The sequence below is a fragment of the Homo sapiens genome, chromosome 9, assembly GCF_000001405.40.
Source record: "Homo sapiens chromosome 9, GRCh38.p14 Primary Assembly".
Lineage (NCBI taxonomy): Eukaryota > Metazoa > Chordata > Mammalia > Primates > Hominidae > Homo > Homo sapiens.
Window position 1 is genome coordinate 72,074,207 of NC_000009.12, and position 21,615 is coordinate 72,095,821.

Below are 21,615 nucleotides of genomic sequence, written 5' to 3' on the forward strand. Positions count from 1 at the left end.
ACATAATTGTCAGATTCACCAAGGTTGAAATGATGGAAAAAATGTTAAGGGCAGCCAGAGAGAAAGGTCAGGTTACCCACAAAGGGAAGCCCATCAGGCTAACAGTGGATCTCTCTGCAGAAACCCTACAAGCCAGAAGAGAGTGGGGGCCAATATTCAACATTCTTAAAGAAAATAATGTTCAACCCAGCATTTCATATCCAGCCAAACTAAGCTTCATAAGCAAAGGAGAAATAAAATCCTTTACAGACAAGCAAATGCTGAGGGATTTTGTCACCACCAGACCTGCCTTACAAGAGCTCCTGAAGGAAGCACTAAATATGGAAAGGAAAAACCAGTACCAGCCACTGCAAAAACATACCAAAATGTAAAGATCATTGACACTATGAAGAAATTGCATCAATTAATGGGCAAAATACTCAGCTAGCATCATATGACAGGATCAAATTCACACATAACCATATTGACCTTAAATGTAAATGAGCTAAATGCGCCAACTAAAAGACACAGACTGCAAATTGTATAAACAGTCAAGACCCATCGGTGTGCTGTATTCAGGAGACCATCTCATGTGCAAAGACACACATAGGCTCAAAATAAAGGGATGGAGGAATATTTACCAAGCAATTGGAAAGCAAACAAAGGCAGGGGTTGCAATCCTAGTCTCTGATAAAACAGACTTTAAACCAACAAAGATAAAAAAAGACAAAGAAGGACATTACATAATGGTAAAGGGATCAATGCAACAAAAAGAGCTAACTATCCTAAATACATATCCACCCAATACAGGAGCACCCAGATTCATAACACAAGTTCTTAGACTCCTAAAAAGAGACTTAGACTCCCACACAATAACAATGGGAGACTTTAACACCCCACTGTCAATATTAGACAGAGCAATGAGACAGAAAATTAACAAGGATATTCAGGGATTGAACTCAGCTCTGGACCAAGTGAACCTACTAGACATATACAGAACTCTCCATCCCAAATTAACAGAATGTACATTCTTCTCAGCACCACATAGCACTTATTCTAAAATTGACCACATAATTGGAAGTAAAACACTCCTCAGCAAATGCAAAAGAACAGAAGTCATAACAAACAGTCTCTCAGACCACAGTACAATCAAATTAGAACTCAGGATTAAGAAACTCACTCAAAACTGCACAACTACGTGGAAACTGAACAACCTGCTCCTGAATGACTACTGGGAAAATAATGAAATTAAGGCAGAAATAAGTAAGTTCTTTGAAACCGATGAGAACAAAGACACAACATGCCAGATTCTCTGGGACACCATTAAGCAGTGTTTAGAGGGAAATTGTTAGCACTAAATGCCCACAGGAGAAAGTGGAAAGATCTAAAGTCAACACCCTAACATCACAATGAAAAGAACTAGAGAAGCAAAAGCAAACAAATTCAAAAGCTAGCAGAAGACAAGAAATAACTAAGATCAGAGCAGAACTGAAGGAGATAGAGACACAAAAAACCCTTTAAAAAATCAATGAATCCAGGAGCTGTTTTTTGAAAAGGTTAACAAAATAGATAGACCACTAGCCAGACTAATAAAGAAGTAAGGAGAGAAGAATCAAATAGAGACAATAAAAAATGATAAAGGGGATATCACCACTGATCCCACAGAAATACAAACTACCATCAGAGAATACTATAAACATCTCTACGCAAACAAACTAGAAAATCTAGACGAAGTGGATAAATTCCTGGACACATACACCCTCCCAAGACTATACCAGGAAGAAGTCAAATCCCTGAATAGACCAATAACATGTTCTGAAATTGAGGCAGTAATTAGTAGCCTACCAACCAAAAAAAGTCCAGGACCAGATGGATTCACAGCTAAATTCTACCACAGGTACAAAGAAGAGCTGGTACCATTCCTTCTGAAACTATTCCAAACAATAGAAAAAGAGGGACTCCTCCATAACTCATTTTATGAGGCCAGCAGCATCCGGATACCAAAACCTGGCAGAGAAACAACATAAAAAGAAAATTTCAGACCAATATCCCTGATGAACATCGATGCGAAAATCCTCAATAAAATACTGGCAAACCGAATCCAGCAGCACATCAAAAATTTTATCCACCATGATCAAGTCAGCTTCATCTCTGGGATGCAAGGCTGGTTCAACATATGTAAATCAATAAACATAATCCATCACATAAACAGAACCAATGACAAAAACCACATGATTGTCTCAATAGATGCAGAAAAGGCCTTTGATAAAATTCAATACCCCTTTATGCTAAAAACACTCAATAAACTAAGTATTGATTAAACATATCTCAAAATAATAAGACCTATTTATGACAAACCCACAGCCAATATCATACTGAATGGGCAAAAGCTGGAAGCATTCTCTTTGAAAACTGGCACAAGACAAGTATGCCCTCTCTCACCATTCCTATTCAACAAGTTCTATGGGCAATCAGGCAACAGAAAGAAATAAATGGTATTCAAATAGGAAGAGAGGAAGTCAAATTGTCTCTGCAGACAACATTATTGTATATTTAGAAAACTCCATCATCAGCCAGGCATGGGGGCTCATACCTGTAATCCCAGCACTTTGGGAGGCTGAGGCAGGCAGATCACGAGGTCAGGAGATCAAGACTAGCCTGGCCAATATGGTGAAACCCTGTCTCTACTAAAAATACAAAAATTAGCCAGGTGTGGTGATGTGTGCCTGTAGTCCCAGCTACTCAGGAGGCTGAGGCAGAAGAATTGCTTGAACCCGGGATGCGGCGGCTGCAGTGAGCAGAGATCACACCACTGCACTCCAGCCTGGGCAACAAAGTGAGACTCAATCACAAAACAAACAAACAAACAAACAAAAAAAATCATTGACTCAGCTCCAAAACTCCTTAAGCTGATAAGCAACTTCAGCAAAGTGTCAGGATACAAAATCACTGTGCAATAATCACAAGCATCCTATACATCAATAGCAGACACACAGAGAGCCAAATCATGAGTGAACTCCCAATCACAATTACTACAAAGAGAATAAAATACCTATGAATACAACTTACAAGGGATGTGAAGGACTGCTTCAAGGGGAACTGCAAACCACTGCTCAAGGAAATAAGAGAGGACACAAATGAATGAAAAACATTCCATGCTCATGGATAGGAAGAATCAATATCTTGAAAGTGGCCATACTACCCAAATTAATTTATAGATTTCATGCTATTCCCATCAAACTACCATTGACTTTCTTCACAGAATTAGAAAAAACTACTTTAAATTTCATATGGAACCAAAAAAGAGCCCATATAGACAAGACAATCCTAAGCAAAAGAACAAAGCTAGAGGCATCACAATACGTGACTTCAAACTACACTACCAGGCTACAGTAAACAAAACAGCATGGTACTGCTACCAAAACAGATATATTGACAAATGGAACAGAACAGAGGCCTCAGAAATAACACCAAACATCTACAACCATCTGATCTTTGACAAACCTGACAAAAACAAGCAATGGGGAAAAGATTCCCTATTTAATAAATGGTGTTGGGAAAACTGGCTAGCCATATGCAGAAAACTAAAACTGGACCCCTTCCTTACACCTTATACAAATATTAACTCAAGATGGATTAAAGACTTAAATGTAAGACCTAAAACCATAAAAACCCTAGAAGAAAATCTAGGCAATACCATTCAGGACACAGGCATGGGCAAGGACTTCCTGACTAAAACACCAAAAGCAATGGCAACAAAAGCCAAAATTGACAAATGGGATCTAGTTAAACTAAAGAGCTTCTGCACAGCAAAAGAAACTGTCATCAGAGTGAATAGGCAAGCTACAGAACGGGAGAAAATGTTTGCAATCTATCCATCTGGAAAAAGGCTAATATCCAGAATCTACAAGGAACTTAAACAAATTTACAAGGAAAAAACAAACAGCTCCATCAAAGAGTGGACGAAGGATATGAACAGACACTTCTCAAAAGAAGATATTTATGCAGCCAACAAACATGAAAAAAAGCTCATCTTCACTGGTCATCAGAGAAATGCAAATCAAAACCACAATGAGATACCATCTCACACCAGTTAGAATGGTGATCATTAAAAAGTCAGGAAACAACAGAGGCTGGAGAGGATGTGGAGAAATAGGAATGCTTTTACATTGTTGGTGGGAGTATAAATTAGTTCAATCATTGTGGAAGACAGTGTGGTGATTCCTCAAGGATCTAGAACCAGAAATACCATTTGACCCAGCAATCCCATTACTGGTTATATAACCAAAGGATTATAAATCATTCTGTTATAAAGACACATGCACACTTATGTTTATTGCAGCACTATTCACAATAGCAAAGACTTGGAACCAACCCAAATGCCCATCAATGATAGACTGGATAAAGAAAATGTGGCACATATACACCATGGAATACTATGCAGCCATAAAAAAGGATGAGTTCATGTCCTTTGCAGGGACATGGATGAAGCTGGAAGCCATCATTCTCAGCAAACTAACACAGGAACAGAAAACCAAACACCACATGTTCTCACTCATAAGTGGGAATTGAACAATGAAAACATATGGACACAGGGAGGGGAAAAACACACACCAGGGCCTGTCAAGGGGTGGGGGACAAGGGGAGGGATAGCATTAGGAGAAATACCTAATGTGGATGACGGGTTGATGGGTGCAGCAAACCACCATGGCACATATATATCTATGTAACAAACCTGCACATTCTGCACATGTATCACAGAACTTAAAGTATAATTTAAAAAAAATTATTTAATTTAAAATAATTTAAAATTTAAATTTAAATAATTTTAAATAGTTAAAAAAAAAGACTTTGGGGACTCAGTGGGAAGGGTGGGAGGGAGGTGAGGCATAAAAGACTGCACATTGTGTACAGTGTACCCTGCTCAGGTGACGGGTGGATCAACATCTCAGAAATCACCACTAAAAAACTTATCCATGTAACCAAAAACCACCTGTTCCTCAAAAACTATTGAAATTAAATTAAAAAAAAAGAACTGATTACAAGGAAGACATCTAACCATAGACTGTACTTGATCCGAGGTTTGAAACACAAAAAGAATATAACAGTAAAGTAAGACAAGTCAAGACAGAGCAATTGCTCAAATGAATTCAGCATGCCATGTTGACAACCCAAAATGCTAAAAACAAAACCCAAACCGTTGATTGCTCAAAAATATAGCTTTTCATAATTTTGCATTGTAATTTATGTTTCATATGCATGAATGCACAATGTGTTTTCTTCTTACAGCTAGGCTATTATTAGGTGAGATTTCTGAAGGCACGGTCTAGGTGACTGAAAAGAAGTACACTTAGCAGGGAATTGTCTAGCTATTTACAGCAGCAGCTGCCTTGACCCAAAAGAATATTACCATTCTTGGAAAATGCCACGGTCTGTTTTTCCTCCTCCCTTACTGGCCTCTCCTGCTCAGCCTCCTTTGCTTGCAACATCTCCTCTTCTGGATTACTAAAATTTGGAGCCCCTCCAGAATTCTTTTCTTAGCCTTCTTTTCTTCTTTATTTTTTAAATTTAATTTTGAAAATTTGTAATATTGGGTACATTCAAAAGAATACTTATAAGAATTTTGCAAGTTACGAAGCATAATTGAAAAACCAGCCCATTCAGGGCCAGGACAAGGGTGAGGCAAGTCAGGTGCTTGTCTTGGGGGCAGAATGTAACAGGCCACCAAAAAACTCATAATCAAGATAAAGCACAGGTTAATACAATATTTTAAAAATCAAAATTAATATGAAAAAATCTGTGATGAACAAAATGTGACAATTTTAAATAAAGACAGAATCTGACTCTGTAGTTTTACACCCTTGACTTAATTGTCTTACTCTAACCCCAGCCTTGGTTCCTACATAGGAGAGGAAATTAATTCTTTTAATTCTTTTTTCGTTTGTTTGCTTTTTGTTTTTTTTTTTTTTTTTTTTTTTTGAGACAGGGTCTCCCTGTCACCCAGGCTGGAGTGCAGTGGTGTAGTCTCGGCTCACTGCAATCCACCTCCAGGGTTCAAGCGATTCTCCTGCCTCAGCCTCCCAAGTAGCTGGGATTACAGGCATGTGCCACCATGCCCAGCTAATTTTTTCTATTTTTAGTAGAGATAGGGTTTCACCATGTTGGCCAGGCTGGTCTTGAACTCCTAACCTCAGGTGATCCACCCACCTTGGCCTCCCAAAGTGCTGGGATTACAGGTGTGAGCCACTGTGCCCAGCCAATAAATTAATTCTTAATATATCACATGGCAACCACAATAATTTAGCAAAGCATATTAGTTTTCTGCCCTGAATTTATAAGTCTACCAAGAGTAAGAGGCTATAAAGAAACATGATTTATGGTGGGAGAGGGTAGAATTAAAATGTGTCCGTTTAATAGTTGCATTAATGTAATTCCATTTGTACTCATTCTTTTTTTTTGTCTTATTCCTTTAGTAAGAATATTGAGAATATCGAGAACACTTCAATATTCCAAACTTCAATGGAAATATACGTAGGTTTCACTTAACTATGGTCCTGATGGCTTTTTTGAAAAAGAAAGAAAGAAAAAATGTTTTCATCATATTAAGAAAATGTCTTAGTCTTAGTTCAGAGATTTCATCAGAAAATGATGTTGATTTATATAAAAGCTTTTTCATAGATATATCAAACCTATAGAAATTATAATGCATTTTTCTCCTCTTTTGATATATTGATACAATGCTGCAGATCTTCTAAGATTGAATGATCCTTGCATTACTGAAATAAGTATTGTCATAGTGTATTATCATTTTATTACAGTATGCATTTGATTTTTCTGGTGTTTTATTTTTGTCATTTCCGTCTATATAAAGTAAAATTAGTCTACATGGGGTATATGTGTGTGCATGTGCATGTGTGCATGTGTGTGTGTGTGTATTTGCTATTTTGGTCAGGTTTGCTATTAGCACTATGGAAGGTTATAAAATAAGTTGGACAGCTGTCTATTTTTTTTTAGATGCTGTAAAATTTCAAATTCATGCTCCACTTCTTATAAAAGGTATGACTTTGTGAAAGTTGCTTTGTTGTTAAATTTCTTTTGTCAAAATTAAATACTTGAGCTTTTCCCACTTTTGAGGTACATTTAAACATTTTATATTAATGAATTTTACATGTATATTTATAACTTATGTTTTCCTTTAAGAATTTTAAATATATAACCAGGTGCATATAAAAGATTTTAAAATAAATTATAATATCTGTCAAATCTATGGTTATAGATTCATAATTTTGCATATTTTGCTTTTTAAAAATATTTTCTTGTTTAGGCTTTCTAGTAGTTTGTATGACTGGTCTTTCTACAATCTAGCATTTAGGTTAATTTATCTAATATTTTCAGGTTCTCCAATATATTAATATTATATATTTATTTATTTTAAACTGACTCTGACAGTACTATTATACTCATATTGGATTGCCTGGATTTATTCTCCACAGCTCTTTTCCTTTGTCTTTTTTCTTTCTTTGTTTTCTTCCCCTAAATTCTAGGAGGATTGCTTGGAGCTTGGGTTCTAATTCATTGATTTGTTTGAAACTTGACAATAAAGTTTCCTATTTCCTCAGTATTTTCTCATCTCAGGTTTCCTTCTTTTTAATGACTACCTACTCTGTCGTCCAACATGTAAAATCCTGTTCAACTAATCAGAAAGTTTCTAAAATTTCATAAAGGAATATTTTTTGTCATTACTCAAATCATCACTCAGACTGGCATCTTTTTTGACTTGCACTGTCTTTTCTTATTTTCAGTCGTATACCGAATTAAAGATTGAGATTAGAGTTTGTCCAGTATTGGTTTAAGTTCTTTTAGAAATTGTGTGAGTTTGAAGTTCCAGACCACTCAAGATAAGGGGAAGGGGGAAATATTTCAACTTATTGTACTTTTACTTATTTGGTTCAGAAATCCAGCAGCTTAAGGGTAGAAGAAAGATAACAGGAGTCTGTCCCTTCGGCCAAAGAGTTTCTTTTCAAAGTTCGTGGTGGCAGCCTGATGTCAGCTGGGGAAGAAGCTCCATTCTTTTTCTGGCAGAACTGACTTCTTTGCGGGAGAGCTGTGGCAGCCCCTTTGCTTATTCCCAGCATGGAAAGACCACAAGATCCCTGCTCCTTATGGCTCTGGCATGCAATGCACTCCCTAGAGGGACCCCTTACAAGGCTACCAATAACCTATCAGCACCTCCAACTCTTACTACTGCACTGAAGGTTAGAGTCAGATTTTGATGATGTCTCTTTTCATTAAATTTCCAGACTACATAGAAACCTGGGGTGATAGGTCTTTCTTCATGCTTTTAGCTGTATGATCTTTAGCAAAAATTCCTTCAATTCTTAATGATCAGCATTGCTATAAGATGTTCCCTATTTATGACATCTGCAGATTATTTTGATGGAAAACTTGGACGGAATAAAAGGTAGTTAAATGCATCCTCAAGTTGCCATTTTTAACTGAAAGCCATCTCTGCTTTTATGAAATCTGGGACAGCTACCAAATTAACACCCACATGTACTAGTAATGGCTGGCAGAGTAGAGAATCGGGGGCAGAAAATCTATGCTGTGTTCTTAATCCATTTCTCAGTCATCACCTACAAGCAGATGTCTCCTACAAGAACATCAATTTAGTGGCCAAGAGTATCTTGGAAAGAGGAAGCCAAGATATTTTTCTAATGTGTGGCTTTCCAATATTTTTGACATCTAGAAGTCACCAGATCAATTAAATACTCAATCATGTTCTGCTGCTTCTTCCATTGTGCAGTGCCATTTGTCAGGGCCCTTCAGGAACACAGGCAGATACCTTTATGAAACCTCTGTTATCCCACTGTAAACTGTCTCACATTAATAAGATTTACCTTCAGGTGGAAGGAAATTCACATAATTCCTCCCATATGTGAGTTTCTTCTTCTAAGTTTATATGGTCAACATCTCATTGCACATGCCCATCAAACTAGACTAAGGAATTTTGACAAACATTCCTAGGTTGTAAAAGTTATATCAAAGTTTTCTTTTAAAATTCTACAAACACATAAATAGCCTATCATTTTATATTTAGGTTTTATTTCCCAGATAATTTCTTCTTTGGGTTCTGGCTGGATTTCCTCTTACCTCCCACTAACCACCTAGTGCTCAAATTCAGTAAATTCGGAGCAGAAATTTCAGAAGCTTAGCATTTGGCCAAAGCCTCTGAACTGCAGCAAGAGGAGAAAGTATGCAAAGATTTCAGTTATTTCTGAGAAGCACATGGGAGAAAGGGCACTTGATCAGAAAAGCCTGTTGATGACTGAGATTTGATACAGTACTGCTAGGAGAACTTAGTGCAGGAATACCTACATGGCATGACTCTGAATGTGGAGTACACAGTCTTACAGGTGAAGACTGTCTTACAGGTGAAGGCCATTGTATTGCCAACACCTCTGAACAAAATCAGAAACATTTTAATTTCATAGGTGATTGAATAAATTTGATCACAAAAATAGTGTTTTATACTGACGTTAAAAGTGGTTATCAGCTGGGTGCCATGGCTTACACCTGTAATCCTAGCACTTTGGGAGGTTGAGGCAAGCAGATTGCTTGAGTCCAGGAGTTCTAGACCAGCCTGGGTAACATGGTGAAACCCCATTTCTACAAAAAATACCAAAAAAAAAAAACAAATAAAAAAGTAGCCAGGTGTGGTAGCATGCACCTGTAGTCCCAACTAGTTGGGAATCTGAGGTGGGAGGATGGTTTGAGTCCGAGAAGTCAAGGCAGCAGAGAGCTATGACGGTGCCACTGCACTCTAGCCTGGGCGACAGAGTGAGATCTTATATCAAAAAAAGAGTGGTTATCATTTAATAAACACTTATTGAGTGACTACTATATGGCAGTCACTGTGCTAAGATTAAAGTATACCAAGATGCATAAGACCTCCTCACCAAATAGGGAATAATTTAGGGAAAAGATTATAGTAAAAGGAGGAGCTTAGGCCAGGCGTGGTGGCTCACACCTGTAATCCCAGCACTTTGGGAGGCCGAGGTAGGTGGATCACCTGAGATCATGAGTTTGAGACCAGCCTGGCCTACATGGTGAAACCCGGTCTCTACTAAAAAAGTACAAAAATTAGCTGGGCGTGGTGGCATGCACCTGTAATCCTAGCTACTCAGGAGGCTGAGGCACAAGAATCACTTGAACCTGGGAGATGGAGGTTGCAGTGAGCCGAGATCATGCCACTGCACTCCAGCCTGGGCCACAGAGTGAGACTTTATCTCAAAAAAAAAAAAAAAAAAAGCTTATAGAATTCTGTCATTCTACCAATGGTGTTTTATCTAGCTCCTTAATAAATATTGGTATTTTAAAATATTTATTTTAGGAAATTACAAACATATATAAAAGTAGAGAAAATAGTGTAATGAAACTAGTGTATTCATTACTCATCTTCAAAAATCATTAATACATTGTCGAGCTCTTTTTTATCTACATGCTCTTAACTCCCCCATCTTTGAGATTATTTTGAAGTAAATCCTGAGTATCATATCATATCCTCTGTGAATACTTCAGTGTATATCTGTAGGAAATAAGGACTCTGTTTTTTAAACACACCCGCAATACTATTGTTACCACATGTAGACAAATCTACAATAAATCATGAGTATCATCACATAAATATTCATGTTGAACTGATTGTTCTATTTAAGCAATTTTTATAGTTTTTTTAAAATTATAATTTAAATAAGGTCCATAGTGTGCCACTGGTTGATAAGCACGTGCAGTCTCTTTTAATCTGTAATATCCTACTCCATCTCTTTTTCTTGATTTTTTTGTTGCTTATTTTATACTTTCCCATAGTCTGGGTTTTGCTGATTGCATCCCCGATGGTATAGTTGAACATATTCCTTTATTTGCCATATTTTCTATAGATTGGCAGCTAGATTTAGAGGTTTGATCTGCTTCAAGTCAGATTTTTTTTTTCAACACTACTTCATAGGTGGTTTTTCCATCATAAAGAAAATGTTGTCTTAGTGTCTCTCTTTTTTGTGACATCATTAGAGGTTACAAAATGGTAATACTCAAGTGGGTGCGGTGGTTCACAACTATAATCTCAGCATTTTGGGAGGCAGTGGCAGGTGGATTGCTTGAGCCCAGGAGTTTGAGACCAGCCTGGGCAACATGGTGAAACCCTATGTCTACAAAAAATACAAAACAATTAGTCAGGTGTGATGGTGTGCACCTGTAGTCCCAGCTTCCTGGGAGGCTGAGACAGGAGGATCACCTGAGCCCGGGAGGTTGAGGCTACAGTGAGTCATGATTGTGCCACTGCATTCCAGCCTGGGTAACCGAGTGAGACTGTCTCAAACAAACAAATAAACCAAACAAAAATTGTAATACTCTAATTTTATAATTCCTTTTCATTTGGTATTAGAATACTTCTATACAAAAAAACCTTCCCCTCATAAATTATTTGGCAATTCTGAAATACAGACTGTAAAAGGCAGAAAAGGTACAATTCTTTCCCTTTATCATATTTCAAAATAATGAGATGCTCCCTTGACATCTTTCAAAGGTGACCTATTAGTTTAGTTTTAGTACAGTTATAAATTCATGGTTTTAAACATACTTGAAGCACTTCAATCCATTAAGGTTATTATGCTCTTTGGTGCTCAGATTTCCTCTTTTAACCCAGCAGAGGTTATTTAGGTTGTCTATTGAGTACTTTTGACACCACCCTGGTGGCCTTCAATAGCTTTCTTGATTTTTTTGAGTTACAAGGTGTTCCAGCATATCTTTTTTACATTCCTTGCCCTAGATCCAGAATTAATCATTTTTTTCAAAGCACCTTGGTTGCTTTAACAGGGAAATAACATTTAAGATCATAATCTGGACACTGGGGTGCTCATTCCTACTGGGTTGGTCATTGGTTCTTTGCCTTTTCAGTGGTTAGGGAATATATTTGTTTTATGTTGTTATTAAAATATTAATATTTAATATATTGTATACAGTATAACAACATATTAAATATATATTTAATATAATATTAACCTCATGAATGTATAATTATACTTCAGGTTTCAAGGTATGACTTGGCTTTTATTTAACTTCATCAATTATACACCTGTATTTCCTAGCAATCACAAAAAAACCCTCAGTTCTCTACGAGACCAGCCTAATCAGATATTTGGTTTTTCCCACAAATTGCACATAGCCATCTCAGAAAACAATACGAATGCTACTGCCACCAACATGATTTGGTTGAAAATGTCTGAAAAAAATTTTTGTACCTCTTTTTGTCTTTAGGAAATATCTCTAATGTACATCCCTAGAGATATATAGTTACTGTGTTTTAAAGTTCTTTGTTATAATTTCTCTTTCTCTGATTAGTCTACCAACTAGATATATAGGTAGGTTAATTTGTTTCCTATTACTTCAAATTCAGAGGTTGCTTTTATTATTTAATTTTGTTTTTATTTTTATGTAAAATATTTAGATATTTCTAAAGCTAAGTCTACAAAACAAGGTGTATTTAGAGAAGACTTATTCTATTTCTGCCCATCTACTGTGTTCCCTCTCTCTTCCTATAAGTAACCATTTAAATAATTGTTTATCTTTTCATTGTTTTTAAGATATTAGCAATATAAAAATACATATGAATATATAAAACTTTTTAATATATCAATATTTATAATAATAATAATTATTATTATTATCTATCTATCTATCTATCTATATTTTGAGACAGGGTCTTGTTCTGTCGCCCAGGCTAGAGTGCAGTGGCATGATCACAGTTCGCTGCAGCCTCTACCTCTTGGGCTCAAGAATCCTCCTGCCTCGGACCTAAGAGTAGCTTGAACTACAGACACTGTCACCACTTGCCTGGTTAATTTCTTTTTTTAATTTTTTTGTAGAGACGGGGCCTTGCTATGTGGCCCAGGCTGGTCTCAAACTCCTAGTTTCAAGCAATCCTCCTCACTCAGCCTCCCAAAAAGCTAGGATTACAAGCATGAGCCACCATGCCCGACCCATCAATATATATTTATTTGGACCTTTGAGCCCAACCCAGCTCCAGATAGATACAATTGAGTCAAAGACCCACATGGAGAAAACTACCCAGCTAACCCCTACCCAAATCCCTGTCTTACACAATCATGAGAACCAATAAATTATTGTTTTAAGTAATTATGTTTTGGAGTAATTTGTTATGTAGTAACAGATAACTGATACAACAATATATCCTGGCGTTCATGTGGTAACAGTATAGAGATAGTGGTATTTATTTATTTTAAAGACTTAAAATTTTAAAAGAGGTTTTAGATTCATGGCAAAATTGAGAGGAAGGTATTCCAGATACTTCCTGCCCTTCCACAGGAATAGCCTCCCCCATTTTCAATGTGTCAGATGTACAGAATAGTACATTTGTTACAATTGATGAACCTACACTGACACATCATAATCACCCAAAGTCCATAGTTTATATTAGGGTTCACTCTTGATATTGTCCTTTGGGTTTGCACAAATGTATAATGACATGTATCCTCCATTATAGTATCATACAGAATAGTTTCACTGCCCTTAATATTTTTTGTGCTCTATCTCTTCAACCCACACTCCCCTTAATTCCTGGCAACCATTGATATTTTTATTGTCTCCACAGTTTTTCCTTTTGCAGAATATTATTAGTTGACATCACACAGTGTTTTCAGATTAGCTTTGGTAACATGAATTTCAGGCTCCTCCATGTCTTTCCATGGCTTGATACCTCATTTCTTTTTTAGCACTGAATAATATTCCATTGCTTAGATGTACTACAGTTTATTTATCATCCATTCACCTACTAAAGGTGAATTGATTGCATCCAAGTTTTGGCAATTATGAATAGAGCTGCTTAAATGTTGTGTGCAGGTTTTTGTGTGGACATAAGTTTTCAACTCCTTTAGCAAATATCAAAGAGTATGATCACTGGATTATATGCTAAGAGTACATTTAGTTTTCTAAGAAACCACCATCTTCCAAAGTAGCCATACCATTTTGCATTCCAACTAGCAATGAATGAGAGTTCCTGTTGCTTCACATTCTCACCAGCATTTGGTGGTGTCAGTGTTCTGGATTTGGGCCATTCTAATATATGTGTAGTGGTATCCCATTGTTCTTTTAATTTGCATTTTCTTGGCCGGGTGCAGTGGCTCACGCCTGTAGTCCCAGCACTTTGGGAGGCCGAGGCGGGCGGATCGTGAGGTCAGGAGATCTAGACCATCCTGGCTAGCATGGTGAAACCCCGTCTTTACTAAAAATATAAAAAATTAGCCAGGCATGGTAGCAGGTGCCTGTAGTCCCAGCTACTCGAGAGGCTGAGGCAGGAGAATGGCATGAACCCAGGAGGCAGAGCTTGCAGTGAGCCGAGATCGCGCCACTGCACTCCAGCCTGGGTGACAGAGCGAGACTCCATCTCAAAAAAAAAAAAAAAAATTTGCATTTTCTTGATGATATATGATGTGTAGCATCTCTTCATATGCTTATTTGTCATCTGTATATGTCTTTTTAATGAGGGGCTATTAAGGTCTTTGGTCTACTTTTTAGTTGGATTGTTTTCTTATTGTTGAATCTTAAGAGTTATTTGTATATTTTGGATAACAGTACTTTATTAAATATGTCTTTTACAATTATGCTCTCCCCAAACATGTGGCTTGTCTTTTCATTCTCTTGACTGTGTCTTTTGCAGGGCAGAAATTTTTAATTTTAGTAAAGTCTAATTTATCAATTCTTTCTTTCATGGATCATGCCTTTGGCATTGTTGATATTTACTTTCAAAATGTGTGTCAGATGATATCAGTCTTTTTTTTTTTCTTTGAGAGTGACAGCCTGAAGAATCATCGATATCATCTTTAGGCTGATTTATCAGATTGGTTTGCCTTGCAAGCAAATGTGATCCCAAAGCTAGTCTCTATGGAATAAGCGGCATGAAAAGATACCATTTACTGGATTTGTTTGATAGTCTAGTGGAGATGATACTATAGTCTGGTTTAGAATTGAATTTCTATATATGGCCTCCAGAAGAAGATTAGACTTCCTCCAAGTTGCCATGACATGTTAGTGTTCTTACCATTTATTTAGTACATAGTATTTATTGCTGGCTTTTGAAAATTCTTATTTAGCATATGTATTAATTTCCTAGGTCTGCCATAACTACCATAAATTGGGTGGCTTACAAAAACAGAAATTTATTAGCACTTAAACCAACAAAGGAGTTTTTAGGGAGGAGTATTTTATCACCGACATTATTTACAGCCACCATCTCATAGTGATAATAAAAGGCAGACTATTTTCTAATCACTTGTATTATTGTTTTAGATTATTTACAGGCTATACCCCCTTACTGGCTGTCCCAGATGGACTGCTTGAAGCTCCACCCTGGAATGCCTTTGATGTGGAATAAAATGAGTTGTAACTTTAGACTTCAGGAGGGGACATCTGTGGCAGCTTTACCATGTATTTAGGTTAGCAGGACAGCAAAAGTATCCCAGCTGCAGTGGACAGGTGTTCTCTGTTGAACTTTATAGGACTGATATACTACAACAACCCCATGCAGCAGCAAGAAACCATGACACTATTGAATTGATGAGGCTTCCTCCTTTTAAATTTGTTTGCATTATGCCACCTTTCTTTAGTTTGAGTAAGTCTTCTTAGACAATACAGGTTGTGATGATTAATTTTGGGCGTCAGCTTGACTGGATTAAGGAATACCTAGAGAACTGATAAAGCATTGTTTTGGGTGTGTCTGTGTGAGTGTTTCCAGAGGAGATTTGTGTGTGAGTCTGAGTGGACTAAGTGGGGGAAGATCCACCCTCAGTGTGGATGAACATCATTTAATAGGCTGGGGCTGTGATAGAACAAAAGCAGAGGAAAGTTGAATTGGTTGCTCTGTCTCCAGGAACTGGAGTACACTCTTCTTCTGCCCTTGGACATCAGGCTCTCTGGCCTTTGGACTCCAGGACTTATACCAGCGCCCCTCTGGGTTCTCAGGCCTCTGTACTTGAACTGAGCCACACTGCCAGCATGCCAGCTTCTCCAGCTTGCCAGGCCTGCTGTGGGACTTCTCAGCCTCCATAATCATGTGTGCCAATTCCCCTAATAAATCTCCTCTCATCTGTCCACGTATCTATATTTGCATTCTGTTGGTTCTGTCTCTCTAGAAAAGTATTACTAATACACAGGTAGAGGAAGTCCCCAAGAAGAATACTGAACTGACACCAATGGAGTGATTATTGAAAAACAAAGAAATAGCTGGGCACAGTGGCTCACGCCTGTAATCCCAGAACTTTGGGAGGCCGAGGCGGGCGGATCACGAGGTCAGGAGTTTGAGACCAGCCTGGCCAATATGGTGAAACCCCGTCTCTACTAAAAATACAACAATTAGCCAGGCGTGGTGGCGTACACCTGTAGTCCCAGCTACTCGGGAGGTTGAGGCAGGAGAATCCCTTGAACCTGGGAGGCAGAGGTTGCAGTGAGCTGAGATCATGCCACCGCACTGCAGCCTGGCAATGGACAAGAAAAAAAAAAAAGAAAGAAAAGAAAGAAAGAAAGAAAAGAAAGAAATATAATAAGAAAGTGATGTGAGCACAACTTTCCTGAGTTTGTAGAAAAGGCAATACTCGTGATATCTAGAGTATAATGTTCCATAACCAAGAGACCAAATTGCATACCTCCTCATGCCTGACTAAGTATTTAGTACATATAGGACATTTAAAAATATTGCATTGATCTATGCCAGGTTTTCCAAAATGAAGAACAAGGGTTCAGCTATCAGAATCACCAAAGCAACTTTCTAAAAACATAAAGGTATAGGCTTAAACAGATCTACTGAATCAGAAATTTGGGGATATGGAGTCTGAGAATCTATATTAAATAAAAGCCTCTGACAGGCACAATGGCTTATGCCTGTAATTGCAGCACTTTAGGAGGATGAGGCAAGAGGATGGCTTGAGCCCAGGAGTTCAAGGCCAGCCTGGGCAACATAGTGAGACCCCCCATCTCTAAAATAAATACAAAACTTAGCTAAGTGTGGTGGCACGTGCCTGTAGTCCCAGTTACTCAGGAGGCTAAGATGGGAGGATCAATTGAAGCAGGAGGACTGATTGAGCCCAGGAGGTTGAGGCTGCAGTGATCTGTGCTTGCACTACTGCACTCCAGCCTGGGTGACAGAGTGAGACCCTGTATCAAAAAAAGAAAAGAAAAAAACGTCTCTCAGGTTGATTCTAATGCTCACCTACCTATGATGGGGAACAGTAGCACATACTGAAAATATAAAAAAAACTTATTCTGAACTACTGGGAAAGTGGAAGGGATCCTATTCCCTACCAACCTGGTTAGTGTTTCCAAATTCACTTTCTTCCCTTTGACCCTCTTTATATAATATCCACAAATCAAAATGGAAAGCCAAGAGATTATTGACATGGTAGCTGTGTATCATGCCTTCTGTTTAAGAATGTTTCCAGGTTCTCGTTGATGTTTGGCAGTCTTGCCAGCACATCCTAAATTAAATAGAATAGCGGTTTCTCCTAGCAGGACATTGGAATGACTCCAGCTAAGAACTGGTCCAGCTACAAACAACTTAATTTACGATGGTATAAAAAACCTCAGCCACAGAATATCTATAATTAGGAAGAATCCAACAGAGATTGAGGTGTAGTAAGATGAATATTCTCCTCTCCTTTCTTTGCCCATCACACACATATCTACCTCTTATTTTCATAGATTCTCACAGCTAGAATGCTCAATAAGAAATCACCTGGTCTATTGGTTGGGTGCAGTGGCTCACGCCTGTAATCCCAGCACTTCGGGAGGCCGAGGCGGACAGGTCACGAGATGGAGACCATCCTGGCTAACACGGTGAAACCCCGTCTCTACTAAAAGTACAAAAAGGCCGGGCGCGGTGGCTCAAGCCTGTAATTCCAGCACTTCGGGAGGCCGAGGCGGGCAGATCACGAGGTCACGAGATGGAGACCATCCTGGCTAACACGGTGAAATCCCGTCTCTACTAAATACACAAAAAATTAGCTGGGCATGGTTGCGAGCACCTGTAGACCCAGCTACTCGGGAGGCTGAGGCAGGAGAATGACGTGAACCAGGGAGGCGGAGCTTGCAGTGAGCTGAGATCGCGCCACTGCACTCCAGCCTGGGCAACAGAGGGAGACTCCGTCTCAAAAAAGAAAGAAAAAAAAAAAAAAAAGAAAGAAATCACCTGGTCTATCATGTGAGCTTTTAGAGTTTTTGAATGAATAAAATATCCTGAAACTGTGATAATCTCCAAGGATGGAGATGTCTCAACAGTCCTTGCAAGGTAAGAGAAACTCAAGAAAAAAGAAGACGGAGTCCTTTATATAGAGATTCTTGGTACTGTTCATACTCAGCCATGTTTCTGAACTATATAATGGACTCATTAATAAGAGTCTAACCCAAACAAAGTCACCTAGCTCCCCTCTTGAATCAGTTTGGGTTAGCTTTGGCTATGAATGACATAAACTCTCTCATACTAATGATTTAAACAACATAGACATTTATTTCTTTCCCACAAAAACAAATTCCAGAGGCAAGTAGTCCAAAGCTGGCATGATGAGGCCACCCATCATTGTTAGGGACTCTAACTCTTTCTATCCTGTTTCTTTGCCATTGTCAAAATGTGGTTTTTCTCTCATGCTCCAAATAGATTGCTTGAGTTCAGGAATCAGGTCCACAATCTCGCCAGCAGGAAGAACGAGGAGAAAAGAGCACAACTCCCCTTTTAAGGACATATCATCAGCTGGAACTGAGCCACACTTGATTGCCAAGAAAGCTGGGAAATGGAATGTTTATTCCAGGTGGTCATGGGGTTAGCTTGCATTCCGGGTTCCATTGCTAAGAAATAACTTGTGACTAGATAATAGAGGACAGGGCCAGGCATGGGGGCTCATGCCTGTAATTAGGGAGGCCGGGGCAGGCGGATCACCTGAGGTCAGGAGTTTGAGACCAGCCTGGCTGACGTGGTAAAACCCCGTCTCTACTAAAAATACAAAAATTAGCTGGGTGTGGTGGCAGGTGCCTGTAATCCCAGCTACTCAGGAGGCTGAGGCAAGAGAATCACTTGAACCCAGGAGGCAGAGGTTGCAGTGAGCCGAGATTGTACCATTGCACTCCAGTCTGGGCAATAAGAGCAAAACTTCATCTCAAAAAAAAAAAACCCACAAAATAATAATAATAATAATAATAATAGGCCATGGGCAGTGGCTCGCACCTGTAATCCCAGTACTTTGGGAGGCCGAGGTGGGTGGGTCACCTGAGGTCAGGAGTTCCAGACCAGCCTGACCAACATGGTGAAACCCCTTCTCTACTAAAAATACAAAAAATTAGCTGGCGGTGGTGGCGGGCACCTGTAATCCCAGCTATTCAGGAGGCTGAGGCAGGAGAATGGCTTGAACCTGGGAGGTGGAGGTTGCGGTGAGTGGAGATCGTGCCATTGCACTCCAGACTGGGCAACAAGAGTGGAACTCTGTCTCAAAAATAAATAAATAAATAAAAGGAGATATTCTATATAATTATACAAGAACAGATTGAACTTCCCTAATCTAAAAATCCAAAATCTGAAATGCTCCAAAACTTGAGCACCAACATGATACCACAGGTGGAAAATTCTACATGTGACAACTTTGCTTTCTGATGATTCAGTATACACAAACTTTGTTTCATGCACAAAATTATTAAAAATATTGCATAAAATTACCTTCAGGCTATGTGCATAAGGTTTATATGAAACAAATGAATTTCATATTTAGAATTGGATTTCATCCCCAAAATATCTCATTATGTACATGCAAATATTTTAAAATCTGAAAAAACACAAAATTCAAACACTTCTGGTCCCCAGCATTTTGGCTAAGGAAAGCTCAGCCTGTACTGCATCTATGCGTGCATATACACACCCCTGGTTCTTTTTTAAAAAAATAAGTAGAAGCCTATAAATTACACTTCACTGTTTATTGTTTTTTTTCTTGCGTAGAATATATTTAGTATACTACTCCATAACGCTAATATAGATTTATTCATTTTGAATGGCTGCAGGGTTTCTCATTATAGTGATACACTATAAAGTCCTATTAATGGCATTTAACTGTCTTTTTGGTCTTATAAATATGCTATCATGGCTATCATTCTAAGTTTGTTCACATGTGTAAACAAATCTGTAGAATATGTATATTCCTAGAAGGGATTGCTGGGTCTAAATTTTGATAGCTATTATCACATTGCCTCCAAAGTGTGTGTTCCATATTATACTTCCTCCAAAAAAGTGTGATAGATACCTATTTTTTTAACATTCTAGACTTAGAGTGTGCTATAAATATTTTATTTTTTTATTTCTCTAGTAGGTGAAAGATGCTATCTTTTTTTTTTTTTTTTTTTTTGAGGTGGAGTCTCGCTTTGTTGCCCAGGCTGGAGTGCAGTGGTGTGATCTCAGTTCACTGCAAGCTCTGCCTCCTAGGTTCACGCCATTCCCCTGCCTCAGCCTCCTGAGTAGCTGGGACTACAGGCACCCACCACCATGCCTGGCTAATTTTTTTTGTACTTTTTAGTAGAGCTGGGGTTTCGCCAGGTTAGCCAGAATGGTCTCGATCTTTTGACCTTGTGATCCACCTGTCTCAGCCTCCCAAAGTGCTGGGATTACAGGTGTGAGCCACCACGCCTGACTGAAAGATGGTATCTTTATTTCACCTTACATGTAATTATCATCTCATTTGTTTTAAAAGCTGTTTGTATCTTTTGTTTTATGAACTCTGTTTATGTTATTTAATCTTTTTTATTGGAATGTAGATTTTTCTTTTATTGATTTGATGTCTCTATTATTAAAAAAAAGATATTCTCTTCTGTCGTATGTACTGCAAATGTTTTCCCCTGGTTTGTCCCTTGAACTTTATTTTTATTTTTAAAAATTCTATTCCTTAAAATAAAAAACAAGTCCCTTGAATTTTAATTTATGGAATTTTTTTCATGCTGAAATGTATAATTTGTGTGTTTTCAATATGTTCATTATAATTTGTATGTTGTAAATATGCTTAATCTCTCCTAGGTTTTTTCATTTTATTCTTTTGTTTCTTGCTTAGAAAGATCTTGCCCTACTCCACTGTTATAAAAGCATTCTCCCACATTTTCTTCTAGTACATTTATAGTTTTCTTTTTTTGGTTTAGTTCTTTTATTTGTCTGAAATTTATTTTCTTATAAAAAATGAGAAACAGATACAATTTTACTTTCTACTGGATGGTTAACCAGTTGTACCATTATTATTTATTAAACAACCCATCTTTTCTACCCTGAATTAAAATGCTGTCTTTATCATATTCTAAATTCTTACATATTTCTCAGTCTATTTCTGGACTCTTCATTCTGTTCCACTGATTTGTCTATTCAGGCATCATTACCAAATATTTTAATTAGTTATAGATTTATAATGTATTTTCATAGACAATATATGAGTCATTCATATTTATTTATTTATTTATTTATTTATTTATTTATTTTGAGACAGAGTGTCACTCTTGTCACCCAGGCTGGAGTGCAGTGGTGTGATCTTGGCTCACTGCAACCTCCGCCTCCTGGGT

The 21,615-nt window shown here is 37.9% G+C and overlaps 1 long non-coding RNA gene across 8 annotated transcripts in view; it reads left to right on the top strand.

Annotated features, from left to right (window-relative positions):
* Positions 1-16,146, top strand: part of LOC101927108 (uncharacterized) — a 60,297-nt gene extending 44,151 nt beyond the window's left edge. For 2 of the 8 annotated variants that reach the window (XR_929921.3, XR_242613.4), the window contains 2 exons: positions 6,453-6,510; positions 15,920-16,146. This is a non-coding gene — a long non-coding RNA (uncharacterized LOC101927108). Of the gene's footprint in view, positions 1-6,452; positions 7,036-7,932; positions 8,294-15,919 lie in introns of those variants that run through there. The other 6 variants (XR_001746719.1, XR_001746720.2, XR_929919.3 and 3 more) reach the window with 5 other exon arrangements.
* The last annotated feature ends 5,469 nt before the right edge of the window (positions 16,147-21,615 follow it).